This window comes from Homo sapiens, chromosome 3 (assembly GCF_000001405.40).
Source record: "Homo sapiens chromosome 3, GRCh38.p14 Primary Assembly".
Taxonomy (NCBI): Eukaryota; Metazoa; Chordata; class Mammalia; order Primates; family Hominidae; genus Homo; species Homo sapiens.
Window position 1 is genome coordinate 86,646,936 of NC_000003.12, and position 27,741 is coordinate 86,674,676.

At 33.5% G+C, this 27,741-nt stretch overlaps 1 long non-coding RNA gene across 3 annotated transcripts in view; it reads left to right on the plus strand.

Annotated features, from left to right (window-relative positions):
- Positions 1–12,133: 12,133 nt before the first annotated feature.
- Positions 12,134–27,741, plus strand: part of LOC101927518 (uncharacterized) — a 78,207-nt gene continuing 62,599 nt past the window's right edge. For all 3 annotated transcript variants that reach the window (XR_941027.4, XR_941026.3, XR_245083.4), the window contains exon 1: positions 12,134–12,299. This is a non-coding gene — a long non-coding RNA (uncharacterized LOC101927518). The remainder of the gene's footprint in view (positions 12,300–27,741) is intronic.

Sequence of the window (27,741 nt, forward strand, 5' to 3'; positions counted from 1 at the left end):
TCGAAGTGTTAGAGTGCAGGAAGAAGGTTGAAAACCTATGAACAATGAGATTAGAATCGTAGGCAAGTGGCCAATCAGGAAAAAGCTGACAGAGATAATACATGGAAATTTGCATATTACCCTTACGTGATTTTAGACAAGGGAGTGCCAAGATTTTTTACCTTATAAAAGAGATAACTGTTGCTGCAAAGTAGAGATATTGGATATTGGATTGAGGGGGAACAAAACTAAAAATGGGAAGTAGCAGGTGTTGAAATAATCTTGACAAGAAATGACAAGAGCATGAACTAAGGTAGGGGCAGTAGAGATACTACCTGTGTTGGTTTCTTGAGGGATGAGGAAAAAAGAAAAGGCTCTGTTTTGCATACCTGAATGACTAGTGGTGCCATACAAAGTTAAAAAAAATGTAATTAAATATGCTGTATTAATTAGAATTATTTTTTGCTGGATAGTGACAGGAGACCCCAAATAATAGTAACTTAACCAAGACAGAGGCTTGTCTCATATAAAAGTTCAATTACATGTCCATAGCTGGTAGAGTTCATCACAGCGTCAGGAACTAAGGCTCCTTTGATCTTGTTGCTCTGTTTTACATGGCCTCGGCTCTCGGATCAATCTCATAATCTAGTATCACTTAGTCAGCTCCAAATTCAACTATAGTAGCTGTATTTCAGACAGCAGAAGACAGAATAGAGTCGAAGATGGCTTGCTTGTGCTATTCACATATACATACTGGAAGTTTCACATTCCTGCTTCCACCCCATTGGCCAATACTTAGTCACGAGGCTACAATGACCTACCAGTGAGAATGAAAAAACGTAGATTTTATTCCCGTTGCTTATGAGCCTGGAAATATTTTGGATATTTTATTACTAAGGAACAAGGGATAACTAGCTATCTCTGCCACAGCCAAGTTCTGTTAAGTTTGATATCTTTGGAAGGCAAGCACAAGATATCTGGAAGGTAGCTGATCATACAGGTTCACAAATCAGAAAAGAGATCTGAAATGAAGATGACAATATGTGGTGGTTAAAGAGATGTAGATTAAAGAGATCACAAAGAAAAGTGTATAGAGTGAAAGAGGGCTGTTGAGAAAGCTGAGAAATATCCACTGATGAATTTCTTTGAAATTCTCTGTCAGTTTCTGGGCGTCTGTTCTCTGCTAGTTTTTTCTCAGCTTAGGTTTTTTTTTTTTTTTTTTTTTTTTTTTCCATAAATCCTACTTTGCTTGTTGAGAGTGATTGTCCCAGAACTTTTGGTACTTGATTCTCTAATCTCCTTTATTTACATTCATTCTGGTAGTGTGTGTACTCAAGTGGATTTAACCACCACCAATATGCTGATGTCCCTTATTCATATCCTGCTTCCTATGATCCACTCTTCAGAGGATATGCAACATCTGCCTAGAATATCCCTATTCAGATCCCTCATTCACATATAATATCTAATATGCCTTTTAAAAAATCTTCATTCTTGTCTGAGCACATAGCGTCATTCCCCTGAACTATTTGTAGACCCATGAACAATTATTCACTATCTTTGTGCTTCAGATAATTGTAACATTTTCTTAGATGTTAATTTTTTATAGTATAAAAGTTGAAATTCCCTGGAGAAGTAATTACAACTCCAATTTCTTTCTAACCTTTAATGTGCTGAGTACATAGTATATTATATAAAATAAATATTTATAAGTATAAAATAAAAGGATACAAATATGGACCCTAAGAAGTGATATAAAAAAGTAATATCGGCCGGTCGTGGTGGTTCACGCCTGTAATCCCAGCACTGTGGGAGGCCAAGACAGGTGGATTACCTGAGGTCAGGAGTTCAAGACCAGCCTGGCCAACATAGTGAAACCTTGTCTCTACTAAAAATACAAAAATTAACTGGGCATGGTGGTGGGTGCCTGTAATCCCAGCTACTCAGGAGGCTGAGGCAGGAAAATCGCTTGAACTCAGAAGGCAGAGGTTGCAGTGAGCCAAGATCATGCTATTGCACTCCAGCTTGGATGAAAAGAGCGAAACTCCATCTCAAAAAAATGTATATATTTGAAATTTTTCATGTGAAAACATTGGACTTTAGTAGCAGAAATAACACTATATGTGTATATATATATGTACATATATAGACTTCTGTTTTCTCTATATATATGTACACATATACATATATGTCAGCAACTGTTAGAAAAACATCATATATATCAGCAGTTAGTATACATATATATCAGCAACTAGTTTTGTTTTTCAATAAATTGATATATGATGAGTATGCATGGTAGTATTCTTCACCTTACAGAAATTATATTCTGACAGGAAAATAGTGCTTGGTTTTGCTAGCCAGATTAAGTGCATCACACTAATACCTTATATAGAATTCATATATATACCAATTCATTTTACATCAATATAAATAAAACACTCTGATGATTCTTTTCTAAACACATCCTGTATATTATTTACTAGATAGGGACCTAAGAAGAAACCCTGAATGTAAGAGCACATCTTGTGCTTAAGGAACTTTCAGTTTGAATAAGAAAACAAGGGACACAGACATGGGATATAATCTCAGTTTGTTCTAAGTAAACTACAAGTAATAAGTGAGGAAATAATTTGATGGAAGGAGTAACCTCTGTAGGTTTGGAAAGACTGCACCAAGCATGTGAGTCAGGACTTAAACTCTAAAAATTCTGTGTAAAAGAAATTGAAGAAAGGGTATTCCAAGAGAGACAAGCAACGAAAGGGTTTTCCAAGAGAGACAAACAATGTATATGGGGGTGTGGTGAACACAGTAAAGAAAGCAGTACTGTGAGGGTGACTAAACTCAAGCAGGGCAGTCATGCTTGTATTTCTGTTTGACCAATTTTTTTTTTTACTAAGAATAATGTCTCTAAAAATTTTACTATTTATATTATTAAACCGATAACTGTATTTCTTTTCAAAAGGACATACCCTTGCCTTTCTGATTCCACAGGGATTTTGCAAAAACAATATATTGTCCACTTACAAGTTTTCTTAAATTTATACTCTACGTTTGTATTAATATGCTGCTACCTCATTTGTAATAAAAATTAGGAGATAAGACTTTAGAAATATTTTTGTTGCCTAATTATATAGCGTCAGGGGAAATATTGATGACACATCAGACATGTAATGAATGCATATCAAAAATAATTAATTATATAAGAAGGCAATCCAAGGTAATAAAGAGTCTTTAAATGGAAAAAGCAAAGATAGTGTCAGTCAAATTTCATTATTACTTAATTCCACATGACTCTATAGCAAAATCTGCTACTCATGTGGAATATCTATTAACTTTAGCAGGTGTTATGCATAACTAGCTGAGGGCAGTTTCTAGTCCACTGAGTACAAGCATAACTCCTAAATTGATAAGCCTGAGTGGAACTCCTTGCAATATTCAAAGGAATTTATCGACATTAATTAGAAATTTTATAAAAGGACTCCAGAGCCCAAAAGATTGTTTTCTTTTTTCCTCGTTCAAACAAACTACATATACATATAGTATTTTTAATAACAATGCATAACTCTTTTATAAACAGCAGTATATTTCTATTCCTATTTGGCCATAAAATTCTCCAGAGATAATCTAAGTTAAAACTTATTGCCTTTTTAGGACTTTGTTTCACTATTTCAGTGGCAGTTGTTGTATGAATTTCTATCAAATTTCACCACCCAACACTTTAACTTTACTCCTTACAATTGTAAAAGCAAACTAAATGTGGCCTGAGAAGGACTCCGTACTTTTATGTTTGAGTCCTTGTGGGTGAACTGTAACCTAGCTTAATAGACAAGATTGGAAACTGAGTTTAGGATTATGCACCTGTAACAACAGCTAAGTCTTGGCCAATCCCAGCAGCCATACTTCAATCATTCATACACCGTTGAGTGTGTAAACTGTGCTCAAATAAGGCATATGCTGAGTTGTAACCAATCCAGCCGTTCTGTACCTCACTTCCAATTTATGTGTATCATTTCCCTTTTTTAGGTCTATAAATCATCTTCCACCACATGGCTGCACTGGAGTCTCTGTGAATCTCCTGTGATTCTGGGGGCTGCCTGATTAGTGAATTGTTCATTGCTCAATTAAACTCGTTTAAATTTAATTCAACTGAAGTTTTTCTTTTAACACAATTATTAAAGTGTTTTGGTCAAACATGAAAGTAGGGTTTGCATGCCTGCTGTTGAGCAGCTTTAGCTATTGTTTATATCCAATGTTTAATCTTGAAAAACACTAGCAAAATTTGCTAACACAGGTAGATGTATCAGAGAACAAAATTATGATATGAAAAGATAGATTTTATATGTAACAAGGCATACCTAGTAGACCAGGTATTTGCTTTGTAGTGTAATTAGATCCAGTGATATATATAATTGGCTACAGTTTTAAAAATATTCTATGCTATTGTTTTTCTATTGCTAGGAGTTAGCATATTTATGGAATACCAAGTAGCTATAAGTCCATTTTGAAAGAAACTTGGGATCAATAAAATAAATATAATACATAAGCCATGGTTTCTGGAAGCTCAGAGATAAATGGGAAAATATGACAGATGTGAATAACTGAATTTTGTTGTTGTTTATTATAAGTATAATGAGAGATATAATTGAAAAAGGTATAAAAGTTATATGAATATAGATATATAAAATCTTGTTTTTAATCATATACCATTTTATTAATTTAAAGACAATCTTGACTGTTATTTCATAAGTTTTGTTCAATTTTATATTATTTATCTAGATTGTATTAAAGAAATAATTTAGGGGCAGTTATTTAGAAATCTGAATTTTAAAATAACAGGTTAAATAGCCCCTTTAAATATTTCAGGCGTTTTTCCTAGTGTTTATAAACTGAGCTTCCTAAAAATAGTTGCAACCTAGTTTTTATTTGACCGTCTTCATTTGCTGTAATAATTTTAGAGTTACTATGCTTCAATGTTAACTTACTTTTCATCTGAAGGGAAGGGTTGAGCTACTCTGTTAATGATAAAACAACTATGATTATTTTGCATTTTTAAAAAGTGCATACAAATCTTTTAATCTCTGCCTACACCCATCAGAACAATTGCCTTCCAATGTAATTATATTCAAAATGCAAGTGAGATAATAAGTATCTTGGAATTTAGCTTGATAAATATTCATTTGCCTTATAGGAAAAAGAGATGAACATTCTCATATAATTAGCTGCATATTTTTAAACCATGCTTTCGTTGAGTTTTTTGAGACATATTTTATGTATGCAAATCTGCTAATTTATACAGTAAAGGAGGTAAGGAGGATGGAAAAAGCAAGAAATCAGAAATATTCATTCCCATTCTGCCCTTCCTTCTGGGGAATAGGTTTCCTAATTATAAGAGAGAAATCATTTCTTCCTCCAAACTCAGATTCTTTATTTTATTGAACCTAAGCTGTGAGAGCCCTTAATTATAAAACCAGACTTATCTATCTTGGTTGCTTTAGAAAATCCTTGTCTTTTTTTTAAAGCTCTACAGCAGAGAATTAAGGCACTAGTAAGAGAATATGTTTCCAATCTTAGGAGATGCACTAGGCTTCTTCACAGCTTTGAGGTCTCACACCACGAACAAGCACACCAAGATCTGCAATTGAGCCAAGTTGCACATTATTTGACTCAGCACACGACTACTAAAGCACACATTTATTAATTCCAATGGGCTGAATACTTGACATATAATAATTCATACTTACATTTTTAACACGTCAACAGTTTACAAATTGTGTAGGTGCGTATCATTGCAGGCAACGTCCTAAGAGCACCTCTGGTGTTCTTATGCCATTTTGAGGACGAGGATGCCAAGATGTCAGATGATTGTCCTAGGAACCCACAACAGGCATAACTGAACTGAGACATGAAATCCAGTGGTTTTCTCTCTATAACTACTGCTCTGAAGTATTCTGTGAGATAATAGCTTTGACAAAAATTGCATCTACAACTAATCAATTTCTAATGAAATTTTGAAAAAGTGTTTTCATGGAAAGAAAATGAGTGATTTTCTTTACGGTTTCTGTATCTCCACCTTCCATGAACTTTATAATTGCCTCAATTTGCTGTACTAATTTTCTGTTTCATTGGTCCTCAGGTTTTATTTTGTTTTCACTTCAGAGTTAATGGTTTATAACATTTTTACCACTATCAAAATTTGATCAGCATTATCGTAAAGTCAACAGACAGAATGCACACCAGTATTTTAATTATGTTGATGCCTAAAGTATATTTTAAAAGTTGAATACATAAGTTATTAATAAAATAAACAAGTATGATACATGCATACATTATTGATTCATTTTAGTGATAAAATTATAATTTGAAGAATGTGTACCATAAAGATATTTTATGAAGCTTTTATTTGAAGAAATAGAATTTTGTTACCAAGCCACAATATTTCACTGTGAAAAGTTAAATACTCTCCAGCCTGAGTGACCAGAAAATTAGCCCCAGAAAGAAGATTCCACTCCCCTATTATAAAGTGTCTCTCATTTTAGAGGATTGCGCTTTTGAATTCCAAACTGAAGCTTAGAGATGGTTGCCTTTTCCTTTTAATGAAAAAGTCCTTAGAAGGCTTGTTTGTAGTGGCAGTAAAAAGCAGATTGCACTAAATGTATTTTATTCCTGCAGAGCTGAGATCAGCACATGCATTACTCTATCTATCCAGAAAATGATATGTCATACTCTATATTGCAACTTAATAACATTCTTCACTTCCCCCACCTCCCCTTTCTGTGAAACCCTCAGCACCTGGGAAGGTTTCATGCTTCTTTTTATCAGACTCTGAAGTACCTGTACTTTGGTCAGATCCCTCGAAGCCTAATGAGCCTGTGGAGGAGCTGAGATACTGGGTCGAGATAAATGGAAATATTTTCAGACTACGAGTTCCAGTCAGAGTAAATGCTGAAAACGAACAAGAGTCTTCAAATTGACAATCTTCAGGGTGAGAAAGAATATACTTGAAGGGTGAGATTTCATTTCTACTACTCCTTAGATTTGCTTCATTTTCTCTGACATTTTCTCACAGTCTACAGTGACATCTGGTTGCTGCAGTGGTAACAATGGTTCCTGAACTGATCAGTTAAATTGAGCAAGCCAGGCATTGCTTTCATTCACTTTCAAGTAACCCAGCTGGAGTCCGGCGGACCTCATGAGATTGCTGCTATTACAATTATTATTATTGTTACTTTATGTTAAAAGTCCTATCTTTCAAATGCTATGCATAGAAAACACAAACTGAGTGTCATCTGGACCAGAATAACGTAGAAGGCTTTATTTATTTATTTATTTATTACATCTAAACAGTGCCTAAGCATTTACATTTCTGGCATAAAGGTTTTTGAGTTATTTGTTCTTACATTTTTTTTTTTAGTATTCATTTTAGTATTCATTTTGGAGAACTTTGACAAACAGAAAAGCACAGAGGAAGAAAATCATTCCAAGTCCCACCACCCCAGAGATAGCCACTCTTATCAGTTTTTATTTTATTTGCAGCCTTCTAACCAAACACTATTTTTCAATGTGGGCTTTTTCTTTATTTAAATAAATATAATTTGAGGCTTCTGTCTTATACAGATTATTTAATAAATTTTATAAAGAGTAGAAATTTTTAAACCTATTAAATGGGATACTAATTATTATAATATCAAGAGGATTTCTTAATAAGGTATTTTACCTATAAGGCAGTCTGCTAGCAAAGATGACAATTCTCTATTGCTTAGCAGTTTTGTGAGCTATTTTATGGTAAGATAAAATGTTCATCTCTCTTTTCCTTCTTATGATAATACCACATAAAACTATATTAAATAATCCTTATATCACTACATTAATACCCAGCTGAAACAGCCTTTGAGAAAACTCACTCCCTTGGCACTTACCAGCTATTCTATTTCTTTTTCCTGTTTCCCTCCCTTAAAAAGGCAATATTCTTAAGGAAGATCCTATAAACAACTTGAGAAGGTAGGGAACAAGATGTTTCATCTATTTTTGGTAACAAGACATGTATGTGCATATAGGGAAATTAAAAACAAAGAAAGAAATCTCCAGGCTAGTGGTGGAAAGAGTCCCTATGCGAGTCTCTACGTGGTCTTGGCAGGCATTCTCTAATTGCAGACTGAAGCTTTCCCTTCCTGGCACCAGCTATGAATTAAGGTAGGCAGATAACAAAGATTGGTGGCTTAGGGACTCCTACAAAGTCTGCAGACTTAAGTATATCCTTCTGGAATGGTCATCATTCTAAACACATCAGACACATGCTTTAACTGAAGGTTTGGCACTTGCAGCTCTCTCTTCCTGGAACACGCTTTTCTGAGATTCACATAGCTACTCGCTCACCTCCTTCAGGTCTCTACTGAAATGTCGCCTTCTCAGCGAGGCCTTCCCAGAACCTCCATCTAAAATTGCAGCACCTCACTGCTGTGTCATACCCTGCCAACTGTCTGTTACTCTTAATCACTTAAATCCATCTAACCTATACCATGTTTAAGTATTTCTTAAATATTGTTTTCTTCCAGAAAAAAATTGTATAAGGGCATAGATTTTTGCCTATGATTTTAGTCCTACATGCTCAAAGTTTAGAAAAGTGTTGGACAAACACGATAGTCACCTAATAAATAGCTTTATAATGACTGAATAAATAAATTGAACTTTATACCTCATTAAGAGGAGCTCTGAATTCAGATCTTCAGATGACTTGACAATATTGCCACAAAAGTGCTTAATGTAAACTTTCTCTTTTCTTTCTTTAGTAGAACTGAGATTAGCCAAATAATTAGCAATGCAATTTGACACATGCTCTTCTTACAAGTCTTGTAAAAAATTCTAGGCTAGGCATCATGGCTCATACCTGTAAATCTCAGCACTTTGGGAATCCAAGGTGAGAGGATCACTTGGAAGCAACATGTGAGACCCTGTCTCTTTGAAAAATACAAAAATTAGCTGGATGTGGTGGCACACACCTGTCGTCCCAGCTACTTGGGAGGCTGAGGCATCTTTGGGCCCAGGAGTTCAAGGATGCATTGAGCTATGATTGCACCACTTCACTCCACACTGAGCCATAAAGTAAGACCCTGTATCTAAAAAAAAATTAAAATAATAAATTTCTAAAAGATTCTTCATATTTAGTTATTGCCTCTTGAAGACCAAGACACATATTTGTCTTCAGTAACCCAGAATAACGAGTACTTTAAAATAATTTTAATGTAAATTTGTCAATATTCATGCTAGATATTCATTGCATATTCCTTCTCCAAATATTAAAACTACATTTTTCCCATAAAATTGAAATGTTAGCAGCCAGTAGGGTCATTTAATTTTATTATCATTAAATGAATCATAGAAATGAAAATAACTGATTATAAAATAAAAGTTAACCTGAATAGAATGTTATGGTATGCTATTTATGACGCTAATTCACTCCCTAACCCAAACAACAACACACCATATTGGGTGATACTATTATCTCCATTTCCCAACTGAGGAAAATGGAGTTGAGAAAAATTAAATAGCTTCCTCTAAATTACCAAAATGCACAAGAGGCAGACTGATAATTTGAACCCAAGTGTCCAATTCTGTAAATTCATGCTAACTCATTAGGAGCTATAAGAAGTAATTAACATGCATTAGTTTATTTAATATACCCATCATCCCTAGGATGTAGTTATTTAACACATAAAACCAAGAATTTGGAAACATTCATTAATTTGCACAAAATTACACAGATGAGTCTGCTTCACATTTGTGTTCTTTGCACTGCACCTCACTAACTCTAAAGGTAAGGGAAGGTTTCTGACACAGTCACAACTTCATGAATTGGTTGGGAACCAAAAGAAAAGAGTCCCTTAATTATCTTTTGCAAAATTATCTAATCCTACCCTATTGAGTTTCCCCACCATGTCATGATGGGACACTGGTGCCATCAAAATGTCAGCATGAAACATCATTATCCCAGCCTTTTGCAATCGCTATGAAGAGTCCATAGGGGTGAGGACACTCTCAGGAACAAGTGCCTTGTTTCTATTTCACAAGAGGTGTGTCTAGAAGTCACCATTTCATTCTTAACTGCAGAGAGAAAAGAAATACATTTTTCTGACCCGGATGCACTCTTACTGTTCATCACAGATTTGTATTGACTTTTTCAACTTAAAATTGCACACTTTGGGGAATATTATTTTTAGAATCATGTATTATGAATGTTTGACCTCAGGTAGATGTTCAAAGCCTTTGTGAATTAGTAATATTCCGTGAGGTTGATGCATCTCTGGGCAACAGTAAATAATTCATGCTTTGATTTAATAGTTCTCATTTTAGCGTGAATATTCGTATTGTTTATGATAGGGAAAACAATTGCTTAGAATTGCCTAAACCCATAGGAAAAGTAGATATGATGACTGTTAGAAAGCAAAGCATTAATTTCTTGACTACTTAAAATAATTATATAAGTTTATATTTTGATGCAGCCATCATTATTGTAAATCATATCTATCACTGTGAGTGGTTGGTTGTTCATACCTAAATTGTTATCCACCTTAATGTTTTCACATAATAGGGAATAATATATGTTATTTTAAATGCATTTTATTTCCGTAAAATAATTTTCTGAAATAAAGTGTCATAAGAATATCATTTTAGATTGAGCTTTGTAAAATGTAACAAATAAATTTAATTATTTAATTGCATATTTATATATTATTGTATATACACACACACACACAGTAATAGTGTGAAGCCCTTACATTTATAGAGTTAAGAGTTCACTGGTCAATACCACAACTGTACATTTGTTGGGAAAAAAAATCTATTTGTGATTTGATCAGAATTTAACAATAGGTAAAATGTTTTTATTCATAATTTGATCAAACAGAAATTCATTGACTATTTACTATCTGTAATGTTCTTTGTTAAACAATGAGGAGAACACACACATGAATAACAAACACCATCTATCCAAAAACAGCTCGTGTCTATGACTGCACATTAACTCAGTCAGGAAGATCACCCAGTAAAACTTGAAAAAGCCATGGTGTATGTGAATTGTAGATTTATTACAGTCTACAAATTCTGCAGTCCTTTTCTTAAGGATTTAAGAAGATTCCTTTTTAAAATTTTCTTCTTTGGCTTAAAAAACACTTCAAGTTTTTGCCTGTTTGTTTACTCCAGCCTCTTTAAAATCACATGGGAAGCAATCTCAGATGCAAGATTTAAATGACATGGTGTCATATTAGTCTGTTAATTACTTTTATGAAACAAACTCAAGTGCTATAATTTATAATTCAAAAACTCTTGCTAACATTATTCTTCTTTGATTGATCCTTATAAAATTTTTTTCAAAGCTCGTGTTGTCACTAGTCTTTCCTTTGTTAGTTTTAAAAGCAAAATGTTTTTAAAAATAAAAATGCTTATGCTAATTCCTGTTTCTTATTAGTTATTATTATTGTCCTTGTATGAATTATAAAAAAATCCACAAGATTTTAAGTAAATGTTAACTAAAATTATAATAAATGGTTACTTTTAAACTATGCAGGCCTTAAATAAAATTGAACAAAACATGGCTGTGGTGAGCCTCTTGAAGATGTAATGAGAAGCATATAATTATCTTTTGTCTAATAGTAGAATTGCCAGGCAGAATTCAGTCGTTTGAGATGGTAAGAGCATTCTGAATTCTCTAAAAGTAACACAAATTACTCTATTAGGGAGTGCTTATGGAATGACCTTTTGTACTGAGCACCTAAATATAGTATTCACGTTAAAAAGCATTCATCCAAAACTAATCCGAAAATCTATTCAATGGCGCACGTCTGTGCTCATTCTTCTTGTTTCACTTTGAAACTCACTTGGGGAAACTTATTTGAACATTAAAATCAGGAGAGACTGAGGAAGAAGCTAGATGTACATAAATAGGATCCTTTTTATTTTAAAAGTGTGACCTCATTATCCATTATATATCTGCACTTTGTAAAAACTTCCTTGTGTACCAATTACACAATGTTTTATTTAATTAAATGAATATGTATAAAATATTTGCACACTACCATTTCAATATTGTTTTAACTTAAGTACTATTGTGACATCTAATTGTGACATCTGCTATTGTGACATTTGCCTGCACCATCTGGTCCCCTGGGAGGTCAGTGCAGGGTTCCTCCATTTTGACATGAGTAAATTCTAGATTAGGTATTTGGCAGTTAACTCATCTGGATATATGGGAACAGAAGTGCCAGACACGTAGATAATATTTGGAGAACAGGAGCAGACTTGGAACATGCTGAATAGAGGACAAGGAAGTGAGTAAAGAACTATGAACAAATCCATTAAGTATTCAAGATTTAAACATTTAGGTAGTAAATACAGCAAACAGGGTGAGAGATATTGGCCACTTGGTGTGTCTAGAGCAGTACTAATTGACAGTTTGTTGTAAAAAAACTCTCACTTAACTACAAGGGCATATAAAATTCTCCACTAACTGGTTTAAAAAGATATATTTCACTAGTGAAAACAACTGAGAAATAAGGGCATTTCTGGGAATTCTATATACCTTTTTTAAAATTTCCTTTCAATTTCTTAGCATCTAGATATCATGTGTGTAATGATTCAAGAGAAGATATATCTGGGTGTCTGTCTCCCCAAATTCTAGTTCTCCAATTGTATTTTCACCAGCGAGTAATTTTGTTGTTTTTTTTCTCCGAAAATAAATTACTTTTTATACATGGCTCAAAGCTTGGTCAAGAATGATGAGAAAGCTCTTATTCTTCCATCAAGAAAGCTTTGTTTCATTTCTCTTTTCACCTGGGTCACTGGCCTGAGGTCTGTAAAAATGATGTTTTTTTTTTTTTTGCTTTTGTATTTGATGTACTTGGAAACAAGAAAACTGACAGAAAGCTTCTAGAATCAGGAAACAGAAGTGATATATATATATGTGTGTACATAAATATATCTAGTAACATTATATGTACATATTTATATAGCTTTACACATATTTTAATTATGTAGTATGGGAGATTAGAATTTAATGTAATTTAATTATTGAATTTAATTGTTCCTAATTAGAATATTTATGATAGAACCAGTAATTTCAGATTCTTTTTCTAGATGGCCTTTAACCCAAATTATGAAAAAAAAAGTCCAATTTCTATTATAATTATCTTTTCTAAGTCAACTTTTCAAAGATGGTTTTGAGTTATACAATAATACTATGGCATTATTATTTCTGTTTTTATTGCATCTAATTTTTTAAGAGTTTTTACTTCTGTAGGTATTTTCTGTAAAACAATAAATTTCAGGGTGCTTTTTATTGATAATTACTAAGAAATCATCACTCTCTCAGGAAAAAGTCCCATAGAAGCAGATCCTATTTGTTATTACTGAGCTAAGTCTTCTAAATTAAATTTCTTCCATTGATTTATCTTTTAGGCTTAAAGTGAAGCAATGTCAATGACATTCTACTAGTATACAAATTCCATATTGGCAGGGAATTTGTCTCTAAGTTTCTAAATCTCAGCACCTAGAATGGACATTTGCACACAGATAACTTATAATCAATATTTGTTATATGCTTAAATCAACTTTCAGAATAAAATCCTTATAATAAAGGGGATAAAATGAAGCTAGTACCAATTTGTTGCCCAAATTTCCAAAGTTTTTCATTTTCTCTTTGGCACATTGATTTTATGTATATGTACTTCTGTGTGTGCCTGTGTGTGTTTGTGTTGAGTGTTTTCAATTTGTCCTTGGTAGTGAAAGCAAGCTTACATTTGCTATAGTCTCATACTTCCTTTCATAGTCTTCAATATGTTTACCTCTTGCACTAGACTGTTTACCTCCATGGACTTCATCTCCCTTCTGGGCTATCAAAATAGCTTCCTATCTACTTTTTCTGCCTTTAGACTCTTATTTCTCCTGTTGTCAAAATACATTTATTTTAAAAAGTGACTAATTACATAAATTTCCCCATTAAAAACCCTTTCTCGTTCTCCAGTGACCCAGTATTAAGTCCAAAATGCAGATCATATTGAATCTTTTCTTTCCAGATTGTCCCCAGTCAATCTCAACCCTTAATGACAGCTAACTAATTACAGTTTCTAAATGTGGCTTGAATATGCTACTCTTCCTTTATTTGACAGCTTGGAGGTCTACTAGGTACCCTTTAAAACCTCAGATCTAATACCACCTCATCTGTGAGATCTCTGACCATCACTTCTGACTGTCCCAAATATTTTTAGAAAACCTCTGCTAGCACATGTAGTATCTATTGCTCTTTTACACATATCGTCCTGCCCCGGACTGTGTTATGAGTCTTTTGAGCAACATTATGGTCTATACCTGGTCTCATAGCTGATAGATGTTACATACTTGTGGTATGGATAAAAATATATTTCAAAACATTTATGGGTAAATTTTGTGTTTGCATATTGTGTGTGGTATATCAAATTCATTCAATATAAAATATATATGTTTTATAAAACCATCATGAATGGCTTGTAGTGTTGATACTTTGTTAATTTACTTACATTTGGGCACAAAGAGGAGATGGAGAAAAGTCAACCACTCCTTGCTCGAAGATGCAAATTGCATCAAGACCCTTTGCCTTCAAAAATTCACATGCTGAATACTGTATTAGCTTCCAAACTAATAGTTCTGACACTTCCTCTGAGATAGTTTTTAAGACCAAAGGTATTACTGACCTGGTAATAATATGGGAGAAAATGTATGATTTTAATTTTCCACTCCAAATAATAGTCCGGGAAAATGTTCATGAGTCTATTGTGTGTAAGATGGGGAACCAAGGTAAACAAGCAGAGGAGCAGAGGTAATTGTCAGGAGATATTTGTTTTGAGAATTTGTAGTTTTCTAAAATGCCTACAAACACATGCACACAGTGCACACATGCACACAATGATTAAATAGCTTATCTGAATGCAAGTTTCAGTCAAATGGACTTTGAGGGTACATTAAATATTCAACTCTATTTTCCTTTCATTTAGACATAGTAAATGAACCCTTAGCTACCATTAGCATCTGCCCCTCCCTCAACACAGACTCAGCAAAATTATCTTATGCTACAGTGGTTCATGAGTTTCCAGCCTCCACAGACTAAAAGGGAGCATCTGCAGGGCAGGGCCTGAAACAATGTAAAGTAGATTCATTACCTTATCACAGCTATGATTCAGTCTCCCTGCAGGTACGCTGGGAGAGGGGCTAACCATGGACATTCATTCATTCATTATAGTGGCCATTCCGTGAAAAGCTCAAGTTGCTGTAGCCATTTTAATATTTTTCCCTACAGGCAGAAGCGGTCTGTGTAGCTGAGGAAAAGAAGGAAGCTTTAGAGAGAACCAAAAACTGATAAATTAATCTTTGAAAAAATTGTTGACAACTTTTCAAAAATTACCAGTTCATAGACTATGTTCACTTTAAATGAGCGGCTTATTTTATCAAATGACAGTTTTCCTAAAGACTTATTATTCAGTATGGATAGAAATTTACTTTTCTGTCTGTCACCACAGTGATATTTATTTATGGAAAGTGGATGAAGTTTCTCAATTTCAATGAGTAAATTCTCAGTGGTAAACCGTGTCCTGTGTGTTTAATGTCCTTGAAAGTTTTCTTTGGAGTTAGTTGTTAACATATTTGGTAAATTATATCAGTTTCTTGTGATTATATTTCAGAAATTATTATAAAAATTCATCTTAATTCTCTGAGATAATTAGTTTAAGAGAGCACAGCTCACATAATCATGCATGGATGGCATGTTAAATATGCATTCACATTGAAATCTACATTTGATGGTACACTTCTCAACTGCTATATATTTATTGCCGTACAAATAATCAGCAGGTCAGGACCTCGAGCACTAAAGCAGGCGGTCTGAGAGAACAGATAGGCAGGGGAGCCAGTTGTTAAAAATCACTAGCGCACTACTGAATGTGTCCTACGGAGATTTCACAAATTGAAAATCACCCTGTGTTATGATTTGTTAGGTTATATCTCATCACAATTTGTTGCATATTATTTTAAATGTACAATTGCAAACCACACACTCCCCCAAAATTCTAAAATGATCAATGATTATTAAAAAGTCCAGAAATGACAGATGCTGGCGAGCTGCAGAGAAAAAAGAATGCTTTTACGCTGTTGATGGAAGTGTAAACCAGTTCAACCGTTGGGGAAGACAATGTGGTGATTCCTTAAATATCTGGAGGCAGAAAGACCATTAGATCCATCAATCTCGTTACTAGGTATATACCCAAAGGAATATAAAACATTCTATTATGAAGATACAGGCACATGTATGTTCACTGCAGCATTATTCACAATACCAAAGACATGAAATCAACCCAAATGCCCATCCAGGATAGACTGGAAAAAGAAAATGTGGTACATATACACCATGGAAGACTATGCAGCCATAAAAAGGCATGAGATCATGTCCTTTGCAGGGACATAGGAGGAGCTGAAAGCCGTCATCCCCAGCAAACTAATGCAGGAACAGGAAACAAAACACCGCATGTTCTCACTTATAAGTGGGAGCTGAACAATGAGAACACATGGACATATTGCAGGGAACACACACTGCGGCCTGTCAGTGGGGGTGGGGGAAGGGATACCATCAGGAAGAATAGCTAATGGATGCTGGGCTTTATACCTAGGTGATGGGATGATCTTTGCAGCAAACTGCCATGGCACACGTTTACCTATGTAACACACCTGCATATCCTGCACATTTACCCCAAAACTTAAAATAAAAGTTGAAGGAAAAAAAAGAGTCCAAGCCAACAGCAATCAACAGGAATTTTCTATGCAACAAACACATTCTAGGCTCCAGGGAAACAAAATTTTGTATTCATGCATAAGAATTTGACATATTAGTGAGCAACTCAAATTTATCTCAAGATTACAGGAAATTCATGAGGTATATATTTAGGGAAAGATGAAATTTCTAAACTCAGATAGTTCTGAATAAAAATCAATGGGCCCAAATCTTAACAATGATGTACAAATCTGATATCTTCTTTTACAGAAGTATTATAGGCTGACAACTGAGATTTTGGCTGAAACACTGATGGCTATAAGTCATTATTTTTCTATTTTAACATTAATAATAGTCTTTTTACTTTATATACACAATATAAAAATAATGTTATACAATATAAAATAATGTACTTCAAAACTGCCTTTCATAGAAAGATTTTCAGGTAAATTTGGAACATCTCAACCTCACATTTAACAAAATTTCATCACTTGATCTTCAGCAGAAAATAACTGGATTTTTATTAGTAGCTACATTCTTATAACAATTTAAATCATTCAAGACAAAATAAAAATGTTTCATTAATTCCATTCTATATAATTTCAGAATTTTCTAAGCGTTTGTTTTAAGCATTGTGTTTAATATTTGAAAGTTATGCTATTATTTTAGAGCAAATTAGGAGTAAAAATCAGAATGCAAACATCAATAATCATAGTATCTATATACTTCTAGTAATTTTAAGTCTAATGATTTATTATATTTTATGAGCAAATTTTAATTGTATCTTTAGTACAGAGGCAAACGTTCTGTCCCTTGACATGGTAACACAACTTCATTTCACAAACACTAAGGAATTATCAGTTTAAATCTATCTTGCTCTGCAATTGTCAAATACCTGAAAGCATTGATGTTGGACATATAAGCCATTTATCTATTTGTTTGTCTATTTATATGTATACCTATCTATTTTTTTAAAAATGTACAGGTTGTTACCTCAATAAAACTGAGGCAAATTGAATTAGTTAATGGGTAGCACCAAATTTGTTTAGCGGTCTCATGCTTTTGCTTCTTTGAACCCGAAACAAAGAGAAGCACATCTGTAAAATTTAATAGGTACAATAATGATATAAAGCATGAGAAAAGTGCTAATATTTTCATCACAGACAGAATAGATTCATACATTTTTCTTGTTTTTATTTATGGGAGAAAGGACTTATAAAAGGCCATGTTTAAGATTTTCCTGCTACTTACATGTCTGAAATGGAAAACAGGGGAAGAGCATTTAGTTCATTCGAGCTACCCTTGTGACGTTAAAAAGAAAATTGATTGTGGTTTATTAGTCCTTTCCAATAAGCACTCAAAGGTTCAGCTAACTGAAAGCAATTGATACTAGTGGAATCGATGGTGCAGTAGAATACCCTAATGGGTATTGTTGGAACTTTTAATTCTCATTATGCAGTTTATTCTTTCAAGGGTTATTTGATGGAGTTTTTGTTGATGAGTATCTTTAAAGCTTTTCTGCTTAAATAATTGGTTTATTGAACAGCTCTGCCCTATTTTAGGTCAATTTACAGATACATGCATTGTGATTCATGCAAACATATAAGCATATTAAAAATGAAAAATTTACATAGCCTACATAGTATTTATATTTCTTCCATTCCTTTCTCATTGATGGAATGCATCCAAGCTCCAATGATGTTCTTTCATTAAAAGTTATTGTAATTAAAAATTTCAGTAGGCTAACTTGTGATTGAACCAGTCAATGAGTTGCTGATATGTCACGTAAGATTAAATCTGAACAGTAGTATTTCATCTACCTTTCCTATTTGCATTTTCACTGCCAGTTTTTAAATGTAAATTAGAAAATGTTATCTTACATGATTCACAAATGCACACCTAAAACTGGTCTTTTTGTTTTAAAGAGACTATAATTTTAGCAAAGAGATCTACAGGAGGGGGAAAACTCCTAAACCTTCTGTATCAGAGCAAGCAAGGACTAAATTACAGGAGTAGCCATCTGCTTGCAATACTTACAGGAGGGAAGGGGAAAGAACAGTCTGAACTCACTGCTTTAAACTAAATCTTCCCCCTCTCCTCCTCTCCTCTTTCCTCTTTTTTTAAATGTTTTTTCTTTGATTGTTCGTTTTGCTTTTCTACCTCCTCTAAACTAACAAAAGAAATATCTTCTTTCCTTCGTCTACTTCCAAGAACTTTGTGTCCCCTAAGAAATTGCTGGTGCGCACGTGTCGCCTCTCTCCTTGGACTAATAATGCTAAATTTCTTTAAATACCCCCTTGCAATTAGCTTATTTATTTCTCATCCACATGTTTCTAGCAAATATGTGGCTATGTACACAGATGAACACACATACACACACTGACACATATATGCACTCATTGCCTTGTTTAAGATAATCCATTAACCTAAGTAAATATTTCTGAACATATTTTTGTAATGAAAATATGTATTGAAAATTTTAAGTCCCAACTTTCTTTACTTATAACTATAGTAAAATCAATAAAAGTTGAAAAATCCTTTATGAATACCCAAAGATATGCAAAATTTATTCTTTCTGTCAATATATTTTATGTAAACATAAAGATACATACATACTTATGTATATACAATATATTTTTATGTAAAAATGAAGATATATACATACTTATGTGTATATTTTTTCAAATAAATATTAGAAACGTTTTGATTTTAACAGATTGACTCCAGCAATTTAATCTAATATATTCTTAGTATCTTTCCATCAATTCAAAGACAATCAGAGAATATCAGTATAAAACTACAGGTATCATTTGAAGAAGACTAATAAAGTTTGCAGTTTTGTTAAGATGTATCTCCCTCAGATTTCTTACCACCCAGAATATGAAGTCTGTTGTGCCTGTCCTTACATGATGCCAAAGAATTTCTTTCACATGGGAAGTAGAAGTAATGTGGCAGGGTAGAAAGAAACTTAGATGAGGAATCAGAAGATAGGGGCTTCCATGATAGAGCTGCTGGTTATTACCTGCTCAAATTTGGGCTACTCACCTAACCATTGAGAAACTGAAAGTACTTGAATACTGAGAATGATAGGTGACATGGCTTGGATCTCTGTCCCTGCCCAAATCTCATGTCAAATTGTAATCCCTGATTTTGGAGGTGGGGCCTGGTGGGAGGTGATTGGATCATGGAGGCAGATTTCTCATTAATGGTTTAACAGCATCCGTTTGGCACTGTCCTTGTGCTAGTGAGTGAGTTCTCGTGACATCTGGTCTTTTAAAAGTGTTTAACACCTCCCCACTCCTTGCTCCTGCTCCTGCCATGTGAGATGACTCGCTCACAATGGTTGGAAGCTTCCTGAGGCCTCCCTAGAAGCAGAAACCACTATGCTTCCTTTGCAGCCTGCAGAACCATGAACCAACTAAACCTTTTTCTTTATAAATTACCCAGTTTCAGGTGTTTCTTTATAGCAGTGTGAGAATGCACTAATACAACAGAGTTCCTGTAAAAATCAAATAAAATCATATATGTGAAAGTGCCCTGAAAACTCTTAATTCATATTAAATAGTATAATATTGTTGTTATTAATATTACCAATAATTTATAGGGAAAAGTAAAAACCTTGACATTGCTGAAGTGTGAAGTTTGGCCCAGCATGAAAGCAAAACACAACTTCTAATGAGGTTGAGATACTGTCCCTCTTTGGCCAAAGTTTTCTTTGCAGAAAATTTAAGGTGTAGTTCAGGTGCCAATATGTTGTAAGCACAATTTATATTGTGTAAATGGAGAAGAACATAAAATGAGTGTCATATTTCTGAAAAATATTTGAATATGTTCAATAATTAAAATAAAGATGTCTAATGTGTTAAAGCAAACTCAGTGTTTAGCAAGCAAGACATTTGTTAATTATCACAGCTAGCAATTACTGAATGCTCATCAAATGAAGGCACTCATAAAATTAAACATGTTGAAATAGGTCTTAAAAAATTCCTGACTACAAATAATTATATAAAACCATCATTGTGGTGATTATTTATACATAGTTCTTTCATTTAATCTTTATCATATACTATTGAGGCATACAGTATCATTATATATTTTGTATTAATCCAAAGAACTTGATAGTTATAACCCATTTTAATTATTATAAGACTACTACATAAAGAGGTTAAATTACTTTCCCAAGGTTGTAAGGTGAAAGTGTAATTAGACTGTAGGAACCTTATCCAAAAGCTTCTAATCATTTGTAGAACTAACGCCCTGAGAACTCATCACACTCAAACAAATAAACAACTAGATTTAAGTTAGGATAAAGGTGAGAAAAAACCTAGGTGGTTTCCAGAAATTTCACCTTATGTTCTGTGATCTCCATGTGGGAGGTGTCAGTTAATTTTACCATCTACGAAAGCATTTTGAGAGGGTGCAGTGAAATAAAAATATAGTAATTTTTAATTTTTCTATTACTCTAGTCTTCAAAAATAGCAATCAAAGAGAGAAGTAACATTAGACATGTTGAAATAGATCTTTAAAAATTCTTTACTAAAAATAATGATATAAAGTATATGACATGAAAAAGAAAATCTACTGTTTAGCTGGTCAACTCTTTCTCAAAATACTTGAAAGAGTATATAATTGTTTTACAGTGAACTTCTCAACAATATTTATATTCATAGAAGAAAAATTTGAAATAATATAAAAGTTCCAACATTTTTGCCAAATCTCAAATAACATTTTAATTTTCTGCATTTTATCCAGTTTTAAATCCTCTGAGGTTTCATTCCAGATTCAACTGTAAAACAAGACAGACTTTGCAGCCAAGTCTTTTTTTTTTTTTTTTTTTAATATAGTCAGCAGCCAGCTTATCTAAGGAGGCTATCTACTCTTGATCCACTGACTGTATCTTTGGTGATATCTGGCATTCTGAAATGGAATTCTGAAAACTGGTCCAGAAATTCTACTCTGGAATAGCATTTGGTAGGAGCAAAATGATGTGGCTTAGATAGCAAATAACCCTAGGGGATTTTCTAGGCCAACTCTGAGAGTCTGGTGAATATGGGAAACTTCCTGAAACCATGCCTGCTCTCCAAAGTACTTTATACCTTTTGAGGTGTTCCTGTCTACCTTATCAATGGGAAATAGGAAATTCAAGAAGGGGAATATGTGAAAGGCAGTAATGGATTGAATCTCTCATCTCTCCCTCTGGCTTCCTCTGCACTGGTTATGAACAACAACTTCCCGCACTTCTTATTTATCTGGTAATTTATTTTCTCTTTAATTTTGAAATGCAGATTTGATGAACATGAGATTGATGGACTTTTTTGTTGTTTGTGTCAGGATTTTGATTGTATTAGCTCTCTGCATTCTGATCTGCTTTGTTTTTCATGAGAAGTTAGTTGTTAGTCTTATTGTGGTTCTCTTGTACACAGTGAGTCATTTTACTCTTGTTCTTTTGAAATTTTCTTTGTCTTTGGCATAAAACAATTGTACTGTGATATTCTGAGAATTAATCTTTGATTTTAATCTACCTTAATTTCGTTGAGCTTTTTGAGTATATTTACAGTATAACATTTACATAATGTTTCTCAGCAAATTTGGAAAGTTTTCAAGCATTATTTCTCTGGCCTTCTTTCTTCATGTTTCTTTTCTTTTTTTTCTAGTAATCCTTTCATATGTACATTAATGTACTTAATGGTATTCCATATTTGTTTGAGGCACTGTTTATTTATTTTTTATTCATTTTACACTGTTTTTTAGATTGCATGAATTTTGTTGATCTATAATCAAGTTTGCTGATTTTTTTAACTTTTCACTTCGAATCTATCATTAATTCCTCTAGTGCAGTTATTGTTTCAGTCATTATATATTGGAACTTCAGAATTTCCATTTGGTTTCTTTTCCTATTAATACATTAGCCTCCTTTCTGCCCCTTGAACTCTCCAGGCCTACTCCTGCTCGAGGGCCTTTGTGCTTGCTTTTCTTTGTAATACACGTTTATCCCAGAAATACATGTTGTTTGCTCTCATAATTATTTTAGGTGTTTTCCAAGTATCATCTTGGCCATTTTATTTCAAATATATCCTATATTATTCCTGTTCTTCCTATTATTATTATTCTGTCTTAATTTTTCTATCTATTACCGTGTTATACACTATGCATCCTCCCGATGCCTTTGTCTGTTATCCTGCTTCCTCCACTAGACTCCAAGTTTCCTTGGGGCAGGAATTTGTCTCTGTTTTATTGGCTTCTATATCTTCACCACCACAAATAGTACTTGGAACTTCTTAGGATTTTATACATATTTTTGAAGGAATAATATAACCTTTCTAAATATAAAGAATATTTGAGTAGATCACTATTTTCCTTTTTGAAAGTCTGTTACCATATTTAATTAACTGACTCATTACTACAAACAGAAGTGAAACATCATATTCTGAGCTATTTCTTCCTTTTTGGTCTTCTTAACTTTCACCTCTAATATAGATTTAAAAAAAATAGAAAATTGGAAATATAACTAAAACCTTAGAAATACTTATAAAAATTATCAAATTATCCAACATTTAAAAATGACTTCCCAATTTTCCTCTGTTATCTACAGTGTCTTAAATGTTACCTAGATGTTTATATAAATTAAGCATATATTTATATACATATATATATTCAAGTTAATAAATATTCCCTTTACCAGCACTAAACTTAAGTAAATACACTTGTTTTCTACTTAAGATTCTGTCACAAACTAACTATCCTCAGAAAAGTCACTTACTGTCTCTGGATTTCAAATAACTCATGAAGAAAATATAGAAGAAACAAAGAAAAAATGTATAATATTTTCCATTCCAAGATGCTTTGAGTCTATCCAGATGATTTGCGAGTGACTATATCTTATAATTCCTTATTATTTGAGCAAGAAAGAAAATCTAATTGAGAGCAACATAGTTTGATATATTTTAAATAAGTATATACTGACATGGAGAATAAAGGCTTCTGTTTCTGTTCTTGTTTGGTTTGGTTTGATTTATATTTTTCAGTAGCGACAGAAGCCTAAAACAGTTTATTGATTATATTTTGAAAAGGCTTTCCAGTGTAAAATTATCTAATTGATCGTTGTGAAACAGGAATTAGTAACAGGATAGTGACCACTGTATTCAATGTGACACTGTTCTGTCAATTTGCTCTTAATGCATTTACCTTTCTAAACAAGAGGACAAGAAGCCAGAACAAATTTGTGAATAAGAAAACAAACAAAGGAAGCAATTGAAACCCATAAATACTGATAACCAGTTATGGAAAAATAAAATTATTGTTATAATTTATGTTACGCCTGACCCACTGATCCGGATGGCAAAGAAATGCCTGAATCAATAAAGCAGACTGTGTTTTCTTCTATTTCCTGAGTTCATAATTGTCATTTCTCATTCTTTATCTGAATGTTGTTGCTAATTAATAGCTCTAAAACTGTTCTATAACAAATTTCTCCATCATTTGCATAGATAAGTCGATAAAGTACTGAGTTAAGTTTCTGGCTTCTGAATCTTTATCAGTTGTTGAACTCAGCCTGATGTCTTATAAAGAATAATGGAAGTGGGCAAATAAATTAAGTCAACTTGCAAAGTTACATTAAGTGAACTTGCAAATTTAAAACATACATATAAAAAATATTTCTTATGGAATCCACAGAAAACATCCCAGTTAGCACCAGCAGAAGTGTAAACCATACCCATACCTTGAAGAATAATGAAAAACAAGTTGTTATCTTATCAGTAATATGCTGCAGTTTTATATCTGTGGCCCAATTATGTTGTAAAACCAACTCATTCCGTACAGAGACATCTATTGTATAAAGAGTGGTCTGGAACCTCAGTGGGCATCAGAATCACTTGGAGGGCTTATTAAAACACAGGTCACTGGGCACTCCCCCAGAGTTTCTGAACCAGTAGGTCTAGTATAAGGCCCAAGTACTTGCTTTTCTTAGCAAGTTCCCAGGTAATGCCGATGCTGCTGATCCAGGGATCAAAGTTTGGTTATCAACAATCTGAGTTGTGCAGTTATAGTTTGGAAAAAAATGTTAAAGGTATTAAATCAATTTCTCTAAGTCAAATGTTAATCATCTTTAAATTTATTATTAAGTTTGAGCAACTACCATGTGTCAGACATGGAGGTAGATGCCAGCAATATGCTGGTTAGATAATCTCCCTCAAGAGGTTCATGGTAAGGAAAGACATGTGACAAGATAATTACTGTGCAGTATTTTCACAGAAGGATGCACAGGGGCTTTAGACTGATGGTCTATTGAATATTCTCAAATAGCACAGCATGTCCAGGAGTGGGTATTTAAATGTATTACTCTGTCCTGAGTATGTTAGTAAGTGATTACAGTAACTCAAGCCAGAAACAGTGATGATTCTTAATACCTTTCCGTTTTCCCAGATTGCTTTGAGTTTAAAATAAAATGCTTTAAAATGGTGAAAAATAACTCTGAATGATTGGCCAACTACTGAGTTGCACAAGATCAGAGCACCAGATCCCTCCTTTCCCCCAGTCCCCCAGCTTTTGTTTTCTTACACATTGTTACATTTCTTCCATGCTATATAAACCCCTAGTTTTAGTCAGTCAGAGAGATGGATTTGAGGCTGAGCTCCCATCTCCTCAGCTGCAGCACCTGTCTCAGTCATTGGCTTTCTGTGCAGGGAGCAGCAGTACCTAGACCAAACCCTGGTATTTTGGTAAAACAAGCTTCAATTTAATGATCTTTCCTAGCTACATACATTGAATGAGTGAATAAATGAAAAAAAGGAAAAACAAATACTCACGTCGATCTTGCCATGCAGCATGCTTGTGGTATCTACTGGTTCCCATTATTGGTTTTCTTCTCTTTGAGAGCATTGACTTAAACTTATACCATTAAATAATACTTACATTTAAAAAACTTATCTTCATTTTACTGAATTTAATTTCATTGTAACATTTTTTGTTATCGTTGTTGAAATATTATCTACTACATTTCACCTGTCCAGAAAATGGTATCATCAGCAATTTAATGGGTATGCTATCCCTCAGAATCACTATTGATTGTATTAAACAATGAGAATGAGCTCAAAGATGAAAAACTGACTTACGTTTGGTGTCTATACTCACATTTTGCTTTTTTGAGAAAAAGAGAGGCCACTGCAGTGTGGATTAGTTCAACATGTTTATTGAGAGGGCTACAGTTTAAACTTTTAATATATTTGATCTCAAATTTGGAGTTAAGTGTCATATACATCAGACTTCTGCAATGATAGCAGGGCTGTAGAGTCACTCCACAGAAAACGTTATTAAATAGACCTCCACTTTTGAGAAACAAAATGACTATTGTGGGTGTTAGCAAATAAGGATGATCTTTCCATTTCTTCTCTTCTTTTATTTGCCAAATAAAATAAACAAACAAAGGTATCTAAATTTAGAAAGCTTTTCAGCATCCCTCTGTTGCAGTGATTTTAGATAAACGTCAATCCTATTCATACAAGGAGGGTGTTCAAAGAAGCTGGGAGAAAATGTGAAGACAATCATGAAGGCCTTTTTGTACTCTGATCTTTCAGCTAGAGGTCCAGAGATAATATTTAGAAAAATGAGACAGAGTTTTAAAATAATCTTGATAAGTGATCTTTTAAAAAAAATTGGTAGGTGGAGACAGTTGAGAAGAAATTTTTAAAATCCCTTGAAAAACTACTGATTCTAGGTGGATATTTGGACAAATATAACCAGTGACCAGAACACAACAGATGCCAATAACATTAAGACCCTGAAAGCAGGGGATGCAGCCCATGGAGCTCTGGAAGATGAAAGGTTTGCTCTAATCCCCCTCCATGAAAGCAGACTTTCTACAGAGAGGAGATTTTAGTCCTGGGAGCATGAAACTTATAAAGAAAGGTTGTTATTTTCTTTTATTTTCTTCCACACCATCTTTCCCCACTGTACCCTGAAGACAGACAAGATCTATGAGAGTCTAGTGAGAAAATAAGTAATATCCAGTATGATATATGGAAGGAAAGTGATAAAAAGAATTAATAATTCTGCTTTATGTTAAAAAAAGACACTTTTGCAAAAGTGGGTTCCACTGTGCCCACCATTCAATAAGCAATTGATATTTTTACTAAAATAATACATGAGGCTGGCAAGACAGAGAACTGCTAAAACTAGAATATTCCAGCATCTATTTTTAATAGTCTTTTGCAAACTTAATTTCCCACTGTTCTTAATATGAACTATGTTCACTAGTATGATTGTACCACTTACTGCCCCACAAACAAAATTTAGCAGAACATCATCTGCATGATCTTAGAATTCTTCTTATATATTTAATAGTACTCCTTTCAAATAATTCCTTAGTCTTCCAAGAAGTCTTCTGGGATGACAAATAATCTGTATTTTTTCTCTAAAATCCATGCTACTCACTGCCAGGACCAGTCACTGGGCAAGCAGAACACAGGACTCATGTCATTTGATATCTTCCAATGTACACAGCCCACATTCCACTGAGAAACTCTCAACCCAAACTTCATTAGTTGGTTAGCAACTTAGAGTTTAAGTAAAGAGTAATAAATTATAGTTGTTTTACTTTTAATTTGATTTCAAGAAATGGTTCCTTTGCTGACTTGCTTTCCTTTTCTGCCCTAGAGGAAGGATTCAAAAGTATACTTTCTCAGCTTTTACTTATATACTTTTTCACATGCCACCTATAAAAAGCATGTTTAAGTTCTTATTTTGGTGCCAATCTCCAACAGCCTAAGGAACATTTTTTTGGGGGGATACTAGAACATCATCTTAAGAACAACTTATTTAAATCCATCACTTCAATATATTCCTGAACTGATTTTTTTCTCAAAAAACATTTGTCTTAATGCACTACCTCGCAGCAATGTCATATAACATTTGACTCACTTTCTCTTCAATGGAAGTAAATGCTTGCCAGGTTTTCTAGGCAAACAGTACTTATATTTCTT